This window comes from Homo sapiens, chromosome 16 (genome assembly GCF_000001405.40).
Source record: "Homo sapiens chromosome 16, GRCh38.p14 Primary Assembly".
Classification (NCBI taxonomy): Eukaryota; Metazoa; Chordata; class Mammalia; order Primates; family Hominidae; genus Homo; species Homo sapiens.
Window position 1 is genome coordinate 22,600,579 of NC_000016.10, and position 17,647 is coordinate 22,618,225.

Here is a 17,647-nt window from a genome sequence, read left to right on the forward strand (position 1 = left end):
GCCAAAGAGTGTTTCAAAGCTGGATTACATAATGAATTATTATTATTTTTTTTTGAGATGAAGTCTCGCTTTGTTGCCCAGGCTGGAATACAGTGGCGTGAGCTCGCCTGACTGCAACCTCCGTCTCCTGGGTTCAAGCGATTCTCCTGCCTCAGCCTCCCGAGTAGCTGGGATTACAGGCATGCCTGGAATTACAGGCACACGTCACCACACCCAGCTAATTTTTGTATTTCTAGTAGAGACAGGGTTTCGTCATGTTGGTCAGGCTGGTCTCAAACTCCTGACCTCAAATGATCTACCCGCCTTGGCCTCCCAAAGTGCTGGGTTTACAGGTGTGAGCCACTGCACCTGGCTGAAAATCCAGATTTTTGTCCAAGATTGCAGAATAAATTGCCTGGGACAAGTCAATGAGTGAGGAGAGATAAGTCAATGGACTGAGAAGGGGTAAACTCAGTCTTGCATAAACAGAATACAGAGGGGATTTGGGTGGATGGGGAGCAGTGAGTGAATGGGCAAAGATAGGACAAAACCAAGCCCACTTAAAGAACAATAATATTACAAAGGACAAAGTTGAGAATAAGAGGCAAAGGGAGGAAATTTAAAAAGCACATTTTTGAGCACTGACTAGTGATGCTTTCCCTGCATAATCTCATTTAACCAGTTTAACAACCTTAAAAAGGAAGTAGTAGTGTTCTTATTTCATAGATGAGGAAACTGAGGCTTGGAGACAGGAGAAATGTTCAGAGAAGACTGTTTCTAAAAGGGTATGTGGTTAGCTATATTCTAAACATTCTTGATACCTCCCCCAACCCCCCTGCCCTTGAATAGTCACTGTCTTCCCAGCCATCATCTATTCTACCTTCAAAACATATCCCCAGTTCATCCACTGCTTCCCATTTCCTGCATTGTCACCCTAGGCTACCACTGCGTCTCAACATATACAGCCTCTCGATTCTCCTATTTCCTAATCTGCCTTCTGCTTAAATTGTTCTTTCAACAAAATCCAGAGAAACCCCAAACAAGTGCACATCTGATAAAGATACTGCCCTCATTAAAACCCTCAAAGGCTCCCTTGCAATTACTTTAAGAATCTCAAGTGCTCATGCTGGCCTGCAAGACCCAGCATGACCTTGTCCCTGCCAGCCTTTCTGGTTACATCTTCTTCATCATCTCCTTCATCCCGGTGCCCCACCAATGCAGTCCTTTCATGTCTCTAACTGCATCCTCGCTTTCCTTCTCCGTGGTCTTTACTCATGCTCTCCTTGCTACTTAAAATACTTTCTTTCCACTTTGCACTGACAAAGTGACTTGTCTTACAGTTCTCACTTTAAACATCACTTTTCTAACTTTCCAAATTAAAGTAAGCCTCCTGTACTTATTAAGAGTGGCATATTTTTCTTTGGGACACTTCACAATATAGAATTATGTACTTGTTTGTGTGATAATTTTTTTTTTTTTTTTGAGTTGGAGTTTCGCTCTTGTTGCCCAGGCTGGAGTGCAATGGTGCGATCTCAGCTCATTGCAACCTCTGCCTCCCCGGTTCAAGCAATTCTCCTGCCTCAGCCTCCCAAGTAGCTTGGATCACAGGCATGCACCACCATGCCTAGCTAATTTTGTATTTTTAGTAAAGATGGGGTTTCACCATGTTAGTCAGCCTGGTCTTGAACTCCTACTCCTGACCTCAGGTGATCCACCTGCCTCGGCCTCCCAAAGTGCTGGGATTACAGGTGTGAGCCACCATGCCCGGCCTGTGTGATAATTTGTTTAACATCTATATCTCCCTAGTAGACTATAGCTCCACCTGGTGAAGGAGTGTGTTTTTATTGCTCACTATTGTATTTCCAGGGCCTCATGAAGTGCTGCCAGGTAAATAGGCCCTCCATAAATATTTATTGAATGAATACGTGAATGAATGAATGAATGAACTGCACCTAGGATTGCTGACAATTCTGGCTTTTGGGACTTTAGTGTCATTTTTCATTTACTTTCTTAAAGAGCAGTAAGTTTAAACTTATACTTTCACCTAGAAGACGGAAGAGTTTTTGAAGCAAAACCTTGAAGCTCGTGACGTGTGCCACGTAATGAATGGATGTTCACCCAATTCAAAGTCCCTGTGTTGTGATCTGACATGACCTCTGAGCTTGCCACAATGAACTTGACCACAAAGACACTGCGTGCACTGCCAACCACAACTAGCAATTGAGTAGCAAGCAGTGGTGTCAATCTTAAAAGCCTAAGATATTCTTAGATGCTTATTTTTATAATCAGTTTTATTATAGAGTTGCTAAAATGGGCCCAAACCATATGTCTCTCCATCGAGAAAAGTCAGCACTGACTGCATGAAACAAAACACTTGCAGAGACATTGAAAAGCCACTTGTTTGACTTTGGAAATAGAGCGCTAGTATTTTTTGCAACTCAAAAGACAAGCCTTGTCTTGGAGCAGTACAAGGAGAAGTGCAATCAAACAAATAGATAAAAAATCATTTGTCTCTTCATTCGAGGTCGGTTTAGAATCACTATGAAAGGTATATGCAATAATAGAAAGCCTGGTGAAGCCCGGAGCTGCAGAAAAGGGTTGAAATTATTTTGGGTCAAAAAGAGGCAGCCAAGTTGAAAAAGGTGCCCTTATTGAGTGACACCATCAAATGGGTTCAAAAGACGTGCTTGAAAATTGGTGGAGAGTCCCAGAGGCAGCTAGTTCTTTACATTTTGATGAAAGGGGGAGACATCCATGACTTGGCTATTTTGCCATCTTTAAAATAATGAAGTCTAAGAAGGTATGCTGATTTTCCCAATGCTGAATGGTATAGCAGCTGGTGAATTTTCAATAAGATACACTTTTCTCCTGTTCTAGCAAGTTTTGATATTTGCCATTTGGTTCCAGAAACTTATTGTGTCTATGTTCCTAAAGCACTTTGACTCTGAGAGAGAGGACAAACTGAACCTGATATATGATGTTTGTGCCCCTTGACGGAGGCTGAATTTTCTGAACTTGAATGATCAATACAACAGTGTCTTGCTAAAAATTGTCTCGCAGAAAATTTTTCATTCATTTTTCTTGATGGCAAGTAATGTATTCCTTCATCAGAACAATTAAACATCTTTAATGATTTTTAAAGACAGGGTGTAATTACATGCACATGATAAAAATTTAAGCAGCACCAAGGGCGTACAGTGAAAATTAAGTCTCTTTCCTGACTGGAGATCATAGTATGAGTGTTTCATGGCTCCTTTCAGAGAGATTCCATGTCTAGCATTTATACATGCACATAAATTCATTTCCTTTTTAAAATTAACACAAATGACAGCATGCTGTATTCTCTCTCTTTTAAAACATTGAGATGGGGTCGGGCACGGTGGCTCACGCCTGTAATCCCACACTTTGGGAGGCCGAGGCAGGCAGATCTCCTGAGATCGGGAGTTCAAGACCAGCCTGACTAACATGGAGAAACCCCGTCTCTACTAAAAATACAAAATTAGCCGGGCGTGGTGGCACGCACCTGTAATCCCAGCTACTCAAGAGGCTGAGGCAGGAGAATTGCTTGAACCCAGGAGGCGGAGGTTGTGGTGAGCCGAGACTTTGCCATTGCACTCCAGCTTGGACAACAAGAGTGAAACACCATCTCAAAAAAAAAAAAAAAAAAATTGAGGTGAAATTCACATAGCAAAATTAGCCACTTTAAAGTGTACAATTCGGTGACATTTTACTCCATTCACACTGTTGTTCGGTTATCACTTCTGCCTAGTCCCAAAACGTTATGTTCTCTTTTGCAATTTACTATTGCTCTTTCACTTAAAAATCTATCATGGAGATTGTTCCATACTAATACATATAGATTCATGTCTTCCATCTTCATCCTATGGGTAACCCTTGTGCCAGACCTGGAGATGAGCTGCTCAGATCTTCCTTAAACAAAGGCTCTCTGTCCAGCTGTGGGGAGTGAGGAGCTGATAGCCTTAACCTGGCAGCTCTTTCAGGGTCCCCTTAGCTGTTAAGTCATGGTCATGCTCTTCTTGGAGTGGCTCCCATCCAGTGACTGAGGGTACAAGGGCCTGACCATTTCTCTAACAGGCAATCTTTGCTGCCTTCTGAAATGGTGGTAGCTCTAAATTGTGCTCTAATGGCCCCTCCTGCCCAATCCTATCTCTTCTGCTTTTCTGGCAGAGGTGTTACTCCCTAATGAATCTTTTGCATTCTATCCGGGCATGCGCTTCTCGGAGAACCCAACCAACATGTACAGTATCTCATGTACACAGTCTTCTAAGGATTGACACTGAGGTTGCTTCTGGATTTTTGCAATTACAGATAGTGCTGGATACAAATCTTTGCAAATATACCTTGCACGCATGCATGAGAATATCTGGAGAATAAATTCCTAGGGTCTAATTGTGGGTCTATTTAAATTTTGCATAAAAATTTGATACATGTTTTCTAACCACCTGCTCCTCCCAAGAGGTTGCACCAGCTTACAGTCCCACCAATCAGGGAAGAGGGATTTTTTTTTTTTTTTTTTTTTTTTGGGACAGGGTCTGGTCCTGCCACCCAGGCTAGAATACAGTGGCGTGATCATGGCTCATGGCAACCTGGTCTTCCCCAGTTCAAGCAATCCTCCCGCCTCAGCCTCCCCAGTAGCTGGGATGATAGCCGCATGCCACCACACCCAGCTAATTTATATTTTACTTTTTGTAGAGACAGAGTCTCACTATGTTGCCTAGGTGGATCTTGAATTCCTGAGCTCAAGCGATCCTCCCACTTTAGCCTCCCAAAGCTCTGGGATGACAGGTGTGAGCCACCATGCCCTGCCTGAGAATTGTCTTCTCACACCCTTGTTAATAGAACTATTATCACATTTTAAAATGTTCTCAATTTTGTAGGTGAAAATATGTCATAGTAGTTTTAATTTGCTTTTATTTTATGATGAGTGAGGTTGATTGTATTTTCAACTCCTTAAAAATGATGACAAGCAAATGAAAACTATTTCATACTAAAACAAGCAGAGAAGATAAACATTTGCCATGGAATCTTGAGATAAAACACAATGCTTTAAAGAAATCCTCCGCTTGTAGAGGGCTACTTTGTGCTAAATTTCCATACATCTTTTGGCACAAATTCTCCTTCCTATTAAGAAAACTGTGATAGAAAAATTTGAGAAGTCCCGCATATTGATGTAAGATTTTCTTAAAGTACAGGAGGAAAGGTGTCTACCTGTATAAGGGATTTCCTGAGTACTGAATCTATTAGGTTTGGACATTAAGCATGTCATAATTTAATATGTATAATGAGTTAAAATGATTTTTTTCGGGAGTTGTTGTGAGTTGGCAATTAGAATGTTTTAATTCCTACCATTGGTTACACTCTGTCAGGCTCCATGAGATAAAGGTAATGGCAGAAATAATTACGTTTCCTGTTTTCCCAAATGAGTCTAAGGAGGAACCAGGGCAGGGAAGGCTAAGCTCCCATTTCAAATGTAACAGCTGTGAGTGCAAAGGACCAGTGGGGAATTTGTCCTGTCTGATGACAGGGGCAAGTTGAGGTGACATAGGAAAGGAATATCATAACATTCTGAGCTTTGGTCACAGACCAAGGCTATATCTATTAATTAATGGTCTATTTATTTTTATTTTTATTTATTTTTTTGAGACAGAGTCTCACTCTGTTACCCAGGCTGGAGTGCAGTGGCATGATCTCGGCTCACTGCAACCTCCCCCTCCTGGGTTCAAGCAATTCTCCTGGCTTAGCCTCGTGGGTAGGTGGGATTACAGGTGCACAACACCACGTCCGGCTAATTTTTGTATTTTTAGTGGAGACAGGGTTTTGCCATGTTGGCCAGGTTGGTCTCAAACTCCTGACCTCAAGTGATCCACCCGCCTTGGGCACCCACAGTGTTGGGATTACAGGTCTGTATCTATTCCATTTGGATGATGTTTTGAGACTCATTTTGCTTCTTTGTCTCCCTTAGGAGCAGGAGACTTGGTGAGGTATATTGATTAGACTAGAGGGTAGGCTGCTGTCACAAAGAAGCCCTAAAATGCAGTGCTTCAAAAATATGATTAGGACTTATGTTTTTCTCATGTTATAATCCAGGTGGGCCCAGGGTTGGATAGGTAGCTTGGTTCTGTGAACTCATCTAGGGACTTGGGTTCCTTCTGTCTTATTGCTTAGTCATCTCCTGGAGTTTGTTTTTATTCATGTGACTGAAGCTGACTCACCAGCATCACATGCATGTTCTGGCTCATTGGAAGGGTGAAAGAGAGGAAGTGGAGGACCAGCAGTTCCCTTTTTAGGAAAGTGATGAAGATACTGACACATCACTTGCACTCACATTCTGTTCATGAGAATTTAGTCACAAGGCCACATCCAGTTGCAAGGGAAGCTGAGAAGTGAGATCCCAGTAGGGTGACCACATGCCCTGTTAAAACTCCATGGGAGGGTATAAATGGAAGAAGAGAGGATAAATTTTGGAGGACAATTAGCCATCGATGCCACATGGACTCAGAGCCTGGCAGAATTATGATCCAAGAAAGGCAATAGGTCTACGTCTATCATTAGCCACATCCATTCCAAACCTCCTGAACTGGCACCACAAGTGGGCAAGATAGTGGCAGGGGAGAAGGTAGCACCACTTTCTTCTTTGATCCTTCAAATAGGCCAGAATCTGTTATCAAGGGTGCCCAGTTAACTAACTTGGAAGCCATTCAGTCATTCGACAGATAATTAATGGAGCATCTGCTATGTGTCTGGCATTGCCTAGGCACTGGGTGCAGGGATGTCCTTGTGGAGTTTCTAGGAGAGTGGAGGAGGTAGATGTTTAACAACAAAGAACTTTGCTAGATATATAATTACAAATTATGACAAATGCCATGAAGGAAAGAGTAGAGGATTCTGTGAAGAACTTGAGATATGGATTTCATTCATATTAGAGATAGAGGGAGGTCTTGGAGGGAGTATTTAAGCTGAGATCTAAAAGATGTGCTGGAATTGGCTGGTGGATGATGAAAGGGAAATAATGGTCTAGGTAGACTGTCTTAGTCCATTCAGGCTGCCGTAACAAAATGCCATAGGCTGGGTAGCTTATAAACAATAGAAACTTGGCCGGGCGCGGTGGCTCACGCCTGTAATCCCAGCACTTTGGGAGGCCGAGGCGGGCGGATCACGAGGTCAGGAGATCGAGACCATCCTGGCTAACACGGTGAAACCCCGTCTCTACTAAAAATACAAAAAATTAGCCGGGCGTGGTAGCGGGCGCCTGTAGTCCCAGCTACTCGGGAGGCTGAGGCAGGAGAATGGCGTGAACCCGGGAGGCGGAGCTTGCAGTGAGCCGAGATCGCGCCACTGCACTCCAGCCTGGGCGACAGAGCGAGACTCCGTCTCAAAAAAAAAAAAAAAAAACAATAGAAACTTACTGCTCACAGTTCTGGAGGCTGGGAATTCCAAGATCAAGGCATTGGCAAACTCGTATCTGGCAAGGGCCTGCTTCTTTTTTCACTGTATCTTCACATGGCAGAAGCAGCAAATGAGCTCTCTGGGTTCTCTTTTATAAGGTTACTAATCCCATTCATGAGGGCTCCACCCTCATGACCTGATCACCTACCAAAGATTTACCTTCTAATACCATTACCTTGGAGATTAGGATTTTGACATGAATTTTGGGACACAGACTATAACACAGAGGAATTAGAATAGTAAATGAGAAGAGAAAGAAATTGTGTGGCTGGAGAGAGAGGCAGCATAGTTTTTCTATAGACTTGTAGGCCTATATGTATCAGAGAGCTATTGTTGCATATCAAATTCCCCCAAAAGGTAGTGACTTAAAACAATAGTCCCTTATTACTTCATGATTTGGCAGGCTGGCAGTCTAGGCTAGACTCAGCTGGGAGGCGTTCTGGATCTAGGCTGAGCTCCCTTATGCATCTGGAGTCAGCTGTGGGTCAGCAGATGCCTCTGCTTCTGGGGTAGGCTGGTTGTTGGCTGGGGCACCTCAGCTCTCTTCCACATGGTCTCTCATCCTCCATTAGGCTAGCCCAGGCAGGATTGTTCACATGGTGGCAGGGTTCTAAGAGAAAGTTGCTGCATGCAAAGCCTCTTGAGACTCATGCTTAGAACTGTCACGCCATAATTTCTGCCACATCTATTGGCCAAAGCAAGTCCCATGGCCAGCCTAGATTCAAGGGGTGAGGAAATAGATTTTAACTCTTGATGGGAGGAGCTGCCAAGCCACATTGTAAAGGGGGCAAGATAGAGGGAGGGGTGAATTATCAAGGGCATTTTTGCAACCAGGTAGGAAATTTGTGTGGTTGGAAGTCACAGGAGATTTTTAAGCAGGGACCAGCAATAACAGGGCACATAGCCAAGGTCATTTGTGCTGCACTGTGATGGAAACTTTCAAGAGCTTGTGTCTTACCTTGCCGTTGTGGTTATGAGTTCTTAGGATGCAAAGTCTGCGATGTCCTTTCCCAAGGCTGGACACAGTGCCCATCTGCCAACTCAACTCCCTTGGTTGCAAACAAGAATTGAAAGCTCTGTTTTCAGCACCTCCAGGTTTGCCAGTGAGGTGTTGTTGAGGAGATTTCACACAGACAGCTTAACTTGTTTGGAGTTGTGAAGCTAATACCATCACCACAAGCTGAGCTGTGAAGAATCCCAGACTTGTCTAAATTATAATTTGTTTGTTGGGCCTTAAGGGGGTCTGAAAAGCCTGTTCCAAATTCTTTCTCTCCAACACAAAAGCATATTTACCCAAACTGGCATTTCCCCTTTTGAGCATGTTTTTTTTTCAATGATAGTGTTTTGCCAACTATGGTGTGCTGGTTGTTAAGCTATTGTCTCTCGATGAACCCATGAACCCATCCTTCTAGACTTTTCTCTGCAGTAGCCTCTCTGCTTTCTCTCTCTCTCTCTCTCTTTCTTTCTTTTTCTTTTTTTTGACAGAGTTTCGCTCTTTTTGCCCAGGCTGGAGTGCAATGGTGCGATCTTGGCTCACTGAAACCTCTGCCTCCCAGGTTCAAGTGATTCTCCTGCCTCAGCCTCCCAAGTAGCTGGGATTACAGGCATGCACCACCATGCCTGGCTAATTTTGTGTTTTTAGTAGGGACGAGGTTTCTCCATGTTGGTCAGGCTGGTCTCGAACTCCTGACCTCAGTTGATCCACCCGCCCTGGCCTCCCAAAGTGCTGGGATTACATGTGATAGTTTTTCTATAGCCTTGTAGGCCTATATGGATCAGATAGCTATTGCTGCATACTGAATTCCCTTAAAGGTAGTGGCTTAAAACAATAGTCACTTATTAGTTCATGATTTGGCAGGTTGGCAATTTAGGCTAGACTCAGCTGGGAGGCATTTGTGTGACCTAGGCTGAGCTTCCTCATCTGCAGTCAGCTGTGGGTCAGCAGATGCCCGTGTGATGTTGGGGTGGTGCTCTGTGGAGCACCTTTTCCCGTCACCAGCCAGATGCTCTGTCATGAGGGAGACTGGAAGGAAGGAAGAAGGGGAAGGGACACCCTCCTTTTTGTTTGCTTGCTTTTCCAGTAGCATCTCTTCAGCAGTGATTCTTTACCCTGGCAAGGGTCATTGATTACAGAGGAAATTGTTCCAGTTTCCAGTTTCTTTCCCTACACTGCTAGAATCAGCCTCAGGAGCTCCCTTAGAGACACCAGCATTGTCAGGGGCCAACCCTCTCCTCATAGGGTCCCAGCTCCTGGTGGTTCCAAACTTCTAGGTTCTAATAACCCCATGCTCTTCCCTTTATTCCTTCAGGACAGTAACTGCTTTATGTAGTTCTTATCTCCTTGTTAACTCAAGGGTTCCCTTTTTTACTTTTTTAGTTCTCCCATACCGTTTAAAAAATTCTGATAAAATAAACTCATGCAGTTTCTGTTGTGTTGCCCAAACCTTGGCTGTTATATATAGTATATAAGATTATTTTAAATGATACCCACTTGAGCACTCAAACAAAAATTTGAATGGGCATTTATTAGTATAATATATATTATGGAAAAATATAACGAATACACAAAACTCATTAGTTCTTGAATATTATTGCTTAAGATTAAAACAATAAATTAAGAATGGGTTAACTTAAAGAACAATATTATGCAAATAGGACGAGTGGAACACAAGCAAAATAGCTGTGGGTGTAGGCTAGCTGCTGGCTGGGGCACTTCAGCTCTCCTCCACGTGGTCTCTCATCCTCCATTAGGCTAGCTTTCGTAGGCTTGTTCACATTGTAGTAGAAAGCATATGCATGCCGGAGAAAGCATATGCATGCAAGAAATTTTGAGAGTACGCTAGTGAGGTATGTCTACCCTGCCCATTACTGTAATAAAATGACCTTTTAGAAGGAAAATCATCTTGATTCCAAAAAAGGATCCCGATAGAGAGATTAGAAAAGTCATAAATTCAGATTTCCTACGTTTCTTTACATTCCCAGGTCCATATATGATGTCACCAGGGTTCCCAACGTAGCAGCCAACCGTGGTCATTCCCCAGCACCTGAACTCTATCCTATAGCTGACTGTTTGCTGGGTTTGAAGGCTGAACTTTACATATTCAGATCAACCAACAGTTGAGAGGGTTGGCTGCCATTTTGAAAGTCATATATAGAAAGAGCTGCACAAAAGCAACCAGTGGAGTCTCCAAAGTTGGTGGCCCAGATATTTGTGTTTCATCATCATGGTGTTGCTGAGCTCTGAGTTGCTTTCTGGGTGGCAGTCTGGAGGTCAAATACCACACCTGGGAAGACTGTGTAGCGAGGTCGGAGAGGGAGTTGGGGAGGCTTGAGGAGCCACTCAAATATCTTACCTGTAGCTGACAAGGCACAACCCGTAATGACATCCTGTTCTCAGAACTCTAATGCTATCTTGTTTTTTGCTTTCGTGACAAGGAGTTGAGGTAGTTATTTTTGTTCCAAGCAACTCCAGATGGGTGAAAGTCAACCCACACAGTCTGGAAAGGATACTAATCCTTCAAATCAGAGACTTCACAAGAAGCACAGAGGTGGCCAGGCCTAATGAGGTTACCCCAGTGGAAACTGTGAACCCAAAATGTGACTTCTGGATTATGTGCAAATGAGTAGAAAAGTGCAGCCCACTAAGTGGGGACCTGGCATTAGACAGTTGTCTCTGGAAACACTTCAGCAAAGGCTAAGTGGGGAACGTGTCCCTCCATGACTGACACTCAGTGTCATAGCTTTAATTTTATTTCACTTCTGAGAGGAAAGTTGACATAGGTGAGCTACAGATGGAAAGGAAGGGGATATGAAGAACGATTTCTCTTTTACCTAAATGTGACAGCAAAAATTTTTCAATTTATACATTCAGTCCTTCACAGAGACTTCTTAATCTTCAGAGAGATTGTGATGTGCTGAAATTTTCTGGTTGAATGTTTTTCTTTAGGATTGGTGGTTCAGAGATAGAGGCAAAAGCAATTGAGAACCACAATTTTTCTAAGATAGCTAACAGTTCCACTTGAAATGATCAATATGATATAGAAAAAAATGGTTCTTTGGTTTCTGCATTGATTTTAATCTTTTTGGAATTTTTTTATACACAGTGTCTTAAAAAGGACCAGGTTTGCTATTTATTGATAGATCTTCCTGAATGTCTCATCACCAAAACTTTTTTTAAAACATTGTTTCCTTAATCACTAAAGTTTGCCAAGTGTAGGAATGAAGTGTATCAAGGCAACTTGCTTGTTCTTGATTTCTGAATTATTTTTGACTTGTTCCTTTTCTCTGCCTATATCCAATCACTTCCCAAGCCCCACACACTGGGGCCATTCACTCATTCATTCATTCAACAAATATTTATTGAGCACCCGATATGTGCAACCTTCTTCCTCAACCTGGAGATATTTATCCTCAAAATTTTCATTCAGTGCTTTTTATTGTGGACCCTTAGCATCTGGTGACATGAGGTATCTGCCATTGGCCCAGAAAGTGTTCTGACATCTTTGGCATCACAAGCATCACTTAGATTAGTTTATTGCCTCTCTTGTGTCTAGGCATAAGTATGATAATGATCAGGTTTGCATATATCCATCAATTTAAATAGAGAAATAAATATAACAGAGACAAGGCGCGGTGGCTCACGCCTGTAAGTGAGGTCAAGGTGGGTGGATCATCTGAGGTCAGGAGTTCGAGACCAGTCTGGCTAACATGGTGAAACCCCATCCCTACTAAAAATACAAAATTAGCCAGGTGTGGTGGCGCATGCCTGTAATCTCAGCTCCTTGGGAGGCTGAGGCAGGAGAATCACTTGAACCCGGGAGGTGGAGGTTGCAGTGAGCCAAGATCGCACCACTACACCCCAGCCTAGGAAAAAAGAGTGAAATTTCATCTCAAAAAATAAAATAAAATAAATATGACAGTAATCTCTGTTTATTAAACACATAATGTGCCAGGTACTATTGTGGTCACCCTGCAAAGACATGGACCCCACCACCCAAAATTTGTTTTAGATGTCAAGACTGATGATACACCACATGCACCAAGAGGGTAGGAAAAGGTTTATTGCTCATATAATGAAGCTTTCTGAGAGAGCAGGGCAGATTCCCAAGCAGGTCCAAAAATGGCTTCAGAAAACCAGGCAAGGAAACTCCCTTAGCATTTATGGTGGTTAGGGATGGGGATGGGGATGGGGATGCGATGGGGATGGGGATGAAATGTGGGTCTGGTGGGAGGGCTAGGGCTTGTTGGGTATGAATTTCCAGCTGGTGCCAGAGGAGAGAGCAGCAGGCTTTCTTAGCTTGCCCAGATGTGGGGCAGAGGGGGAGAGGGAGGGTGGAAGATGTTAGCAGTCCCATATCAAAAGTGGAGGCAGACTGTTTTTCCCTCTACAATTTTTTTTATTATGGTAAAATACACAACATAAAACTTACCATCTTAACCATTTTGAAGTGCACGGTTCAGTGGTATAAAATAAATTGATATTGTTGTGCAACCATCACCACCATCCATATCCACAAGTCTTCATCCTGTAAAATGAAAACTCTGTACCCATTAAACAATAATTTCCCCACTCTGTCTTTCTGCAGCTGCTGGGGACCACCATTCTACTTTCTGTCTCTCTAATTTTGACAACTCTATGGGCTTCCTTTAAGTAGAACCATACAGTATTTGTTTTTCTGTGACTGGCTTATTTTACTTAGCGTAATGTCCTACAAAATCATTCATGTTGTAGCGTATTGCAGAAATTCCTTTTTTTTTTTTTGATGGAGTCTTGCTCTTGTCACCCAGGCTGGAGTGCAATGGCACGATCTCAGGTCACTGCAACCTCTGCCTGCTGGGTTCAAGTGATTCTCCTGCCTCAGCCTCCTGAGTAGCTGGGATTACAGGCGCCCACGACCACACCCAGCTAATTTTTGTATTTTTAGTAGAGACAGGGTTTCACAACGTTGGCCAGGCTGGCCTCGAACTCCTGATCTCATGATCCGCCTGCCTCGGCCTTCCAAAGTGCTGGGATTACAGGCGTGAGCCACTGTGCCTGGCCTTCCTTCCTTTTTAAGGCTGAATAATATTCCCTTGTATGGATATACCACATGTTGCTTATCCATTTGTCTGTCAATGGATAAGCATTGGATTTTAACCATTGGGAATTATGCTGCTATGAACCTGGAGGGGTATATAAATATCTTTTCAATAATCTGCTTTCAATTCTTTTGGGTTATATACCCAGAGTCAAAATTGTTGGCAGGCCTTTCATTGCAATTCGCCCTTGATATTTGACTGATGACTAAAAATGTGCCATGTTTCAGTTAATTGAGTTTGAACTGGTTTAATTAAGCCATTATGGTTCTCTATGAGGCTTGTGTCCTGAGGCTGGTAAGGAAATTGAAAGTCCCATTGAATGACTCATTCCAGAGCCCAGCATTATGTCTGTTGAGAAGTGAAATGCGTGCTTTGTTCAGAACACAAAATGATATAAGAAGTGTCTTAGGGAGGCTTTGTACTGTGGTTTTTGTAGGTACAGAGACATGTGTGACCTTGATTTATATGTTGGATATCTATGAGGCAAGAGATTCGTGGAGTTCTGTACTCCAAAGGCAGAAACTCTGGGTAAGAAATTGTTGTTCCTGCCATTGGCAAGACTAGAAGGCCAGATGATTGGCAGTGGTCCATGAGTCTGTAAAGGTGTGTGGACGGGCTGATTATTAGCCAAGGCATCCTGGGCTAAGATTACTTCCTGAAGTTCCGCCAATTGTGTTAACCTTTGGATCCTCTCCTTTTTCAAGAATGTCCTGGTTAGGGATGGAATGCAGCAGCTTTCTAGCAAGCCCTATCACATTGAATGTGGTTAAGATCTCGCCCACAAAGATTGTGTGCAATGGCAAGGCTGTTGAGTGCTCCAGCAAAGGTATATTGTATCCCTCTGAAGGTGAAGACAAAGTGCAGCTAAGAGACTGTAAAAATAGGCATTGAACATAAGAGATTTAGCTAAATCTACGACTGCAGGGTATTTACAAGTTGCTGATTTGATGAAGTCAATAGTTTACTAATATTGGGTATGAGAACCTCAATGGGTAAGGCATTGTGACATTAAGATTACGGTATCAGCCAGGTGCAATGGTGCACACCTGTAATCCCAGCACTTTGGGAGGCCAAGGTGAAAGGATTGCTTGAGACCAAGAGTTTGAGACTCACCTGGGCAATATGGTGAGATCCTGTCCCTATAAAAAATAAAAAAAAAATTAGCTGGGTGTGGTGGTACACAGCTGTAGTCCCAGCTACTCTGTAGGCTGAGGCAGGAGGATTGCTTGAGTCCAGAAGTTTGAGGCTGCAGTGAGCTGTGATAGCGCCACTGCACTATAGTCACTCTGAGTGACAGACAGACCTTGTCTCAAAAAAAGAAAAGAAGACTTCAGTATCTATAGTGAGGCACTATTCTTTCCTTCCAAGGTAAAAGAGGTCAAATTGAGCTATTAAATGGAGAAGTAGTGGGAATAATCACTCCCTTTTCAAAACGGACCTTGCATAATGAGTTTCAATCTTAAATGCCTTGTTTTGATTTATATTAGATCTTATTAAATATTCTAACTAGGGTCAGGGACGTCTTAAATATTCTAACTAGGGTCAGGGAGGTCCAGGGGGTCACATTTTGTGTTAAGCCCATTGTAAGTGTCAAAAACCTAATTTAACTTTAAGTTATCACACTTTGGGTTAGAGCATCCCTGCCCACTATGAGATATTTTGGGGCCATGGGCATTTTAACTAGGCGGAGTTTAGGTAAGGCAATATGTCTGGTGGTTAAGGAGAGGCATACCTATTTGTCTTCCATTTATGTTCAGTAACTCTCCCAAGATTATAGGGGGTACCTTGTTTAAATTTAGTGGGATCCCAGGTATGACCATAATTTCAGCCCCCGTGTTGATGAAGGCCATTAAAATTTGCCAACGGGTACATCTCAGTAGATTTTGAAGTTAATTCACAATCTATGCTGCAGAGCTGTAAAGGCCAATCTTTTATCTTTTTGTTGTATACATTCTTTTGGTGCATCTTGGATTTCCAGTTGGGTCAAATTGAGGACTTCTGTTTCTGTTTTGTAGTTGTTGTTGTTGTTGTTTCCTCTGGCTCTGGCATCCGGGTGTTATTATTGTTATTGTTTTTTGATGGTTACTGGATATACTTCAGGGAGTGGGTGTTCTCTACCTTGCTTATATTTAGAAATTTCACCTCAAAGAGCCTGAAATTAATACAGTCCGAATTAGGGGCCTGCCTTTTAGAAATGGTTGCTTTATTGGGTTTAAGGACCCAGGGTTTAAGTTGTGTTTGAATTAACCCTTTGGCTATGTCACCAGGGTGCTAAGCGTATTTTTTTCCGTATAACTCTCAGGATTGAGAACTTTGTTGTGAGAAACACATAAGCAGCAGCGGCAGCAGCAAAACCATTCTGTAGGGTCCTAGTGAGTCACCTGTTTTTAGGAGTATGACTTCAGCATATACTTCCATGCAAGGACCACTCAATGGCATGCATATTGCATAGGGTATCCGTCTTTTCCCAAGCACTCTATAAAATGGGGACTAAAGTCCTGTTGAGACATACAACGAATGGTAACAGAGTAAGAGTCATTCCCCTGAGCCTAGTGGCAGTCATGGCTTATGCTGGAATTGAGACACACAAAGGAGTCCAGACACATGATCCAAGGTCACTTTAAGGAGGGCCCCAATCCCATGCTCCTGTTTCTAAATGCCAATTAGTGAAATTTCTGATTTAGGTTGGTTAAGTATATAACAGAGGCTTGAAAGCTCAGCAAATTCAGCAGAAAGCAGCTCAGCTCAAAGAGCAAGTCAGCCTGCCGGCAGCGGCACAACTCAAAGCGCATGCAAGCCAGCAGGCAGCAGGGCCTGTTCACAAGTCAAAGCCAAAGAAGAATGACCCCCGGTGGTGGTGGTCATTGCCTAGGCATACTGCTCACAGAGTTGTGGTCACCCTGCAAAAGTGGGATGGACTCTGTCACTCCAGATTTGTTCATATGACACACACACACACACACACACACACACACACACACACACTATGACAAGGTTTATTACTCACGTAATAAGCAAGGCAGGCTTCCCTAGTAGGTCCAAAATGGCTTGAGAAAGCAAAGAATGGAGGTTGGCTTGGGTTTGATGGTAGCTGGGGGATAGGGTTGGGTTGTGGGTTTCTGCCTACAAGTCAGGCTTGTATAGTGTTGAACTTCTTGGCATCACCAAAGGAGATAACACCCAGGTTCTGTTATTGGTCTGTTCAGATGTGAGGCAGAAGAGGAAGAGGAAAGGTTGGGACTTGAAAGCTATCAGCAGTCAGATATCAAAAATGGAGCGAGATTATTGCAGATATATTATTTCCTTTAATACCTAGTTACAGATTGGAAAATAGGCTTAAATAGGCCACATGGCTATTAAAAAAATCAAATAGTGGAACTAGAGTCAAACTCTGGCCCATCTGACTTCCAAACCTATTCACTTTTTTTCCTTTTTCGGTAAACATGGGGTCTCGCCCTGTTGCCCAGGCTGATCTCAAACTCCGGGCTTCAACTGATCTACCTGCCTTGGACCCCGGAAGTGCTGGGATTAAAAAGAGCCACTACACCTGGCTCAAACCAATTCACTCAACCGCTAGGCTACATTGCCTCAGGAAGAAAATAAAGGGTCTAAGCTCTAACAATCCAGGCTCTACAGATATCATGAAGGAAACATCATTTATCAGTGAAAATAAGGAGTTGGTCAATGTTAGAGTATAAAACAGAGAAGAATAGGGAATGTGGGCCAATTTGGGCTTGAAATGTATGTTGACTAGAGATCTCTGTCCCTTGGTATGGTTGGTCAGAGCAATTCATTATAACTCTATTTGATTATCCCCACTTAAAGTTGCTGTCCCAGTAGTCCGTACAAGCATTGGTGGACTTGCTGGATGCAGTGGCTCATGACTGTAATCCCAGCTCTTTGGGAGGCTGAGGCAGGCAGATCGCTTGAGCCCAGGAGTTTTGAGACCAACCGGACAAACATGGCAAAACTCTGTTTCTACAAGAAAGTAAAAAATTAGCCAGGTGAGGCAGAGTGCACCTATGGTCCCAGCTACTCAGGAGGCTAAGGTGGGAGGATCAACCAAGCCTGGAGAGGTGGAGGCTGCAGTGAGCTGAGATTATACCACTGCACTCCAGCCTGG

The 17,647-nt window shown here is 43.1% G+C and overlaps 2 long non-coding RNA genes across 4 annotated transcripts in view; both read right to left on the reverse strand.

The window, feature by feature from the left end:
* LOC112268175 (uncharacterized) overlaps positions 1 to 7,485 on the reverse strand; it is a 30,600-nt gene extending 23,115 nt beyond the window's left edge. For all 3 annotated transcript variants that reach the window (XR_002957911.2, XR_002957910.2, XR_002957912.2), the window contains exon 1: positions 7,407 to 7,485. This is a non-coding gene — a long non-coding RNA (uncharacterized LOC112268175). The remainder of the gene's footprint in view (positions 1 to 7,406) is intronic.
* Positions 7,486 to 9,953: 2,468 nt separating this feature from the next.
* Positions 9,954 to 12,941, reverse strand: LINC02890 (long intergenic non-protein coding RNA 2890). The gene is made up of 2 exons (NR_186362.1): positions 12,876 to 12,941; positions 9,954 to 12,309 (listed from the first exon to the last, which is right to left on the reverse strand). It is a non-coding gene; the product is annotated as a long intergenic non-protein coding RNA 2890 (long non-coding RNA).
* Positions 12,942 to 17,647: the final 4,706 nt, after the last annotated feature.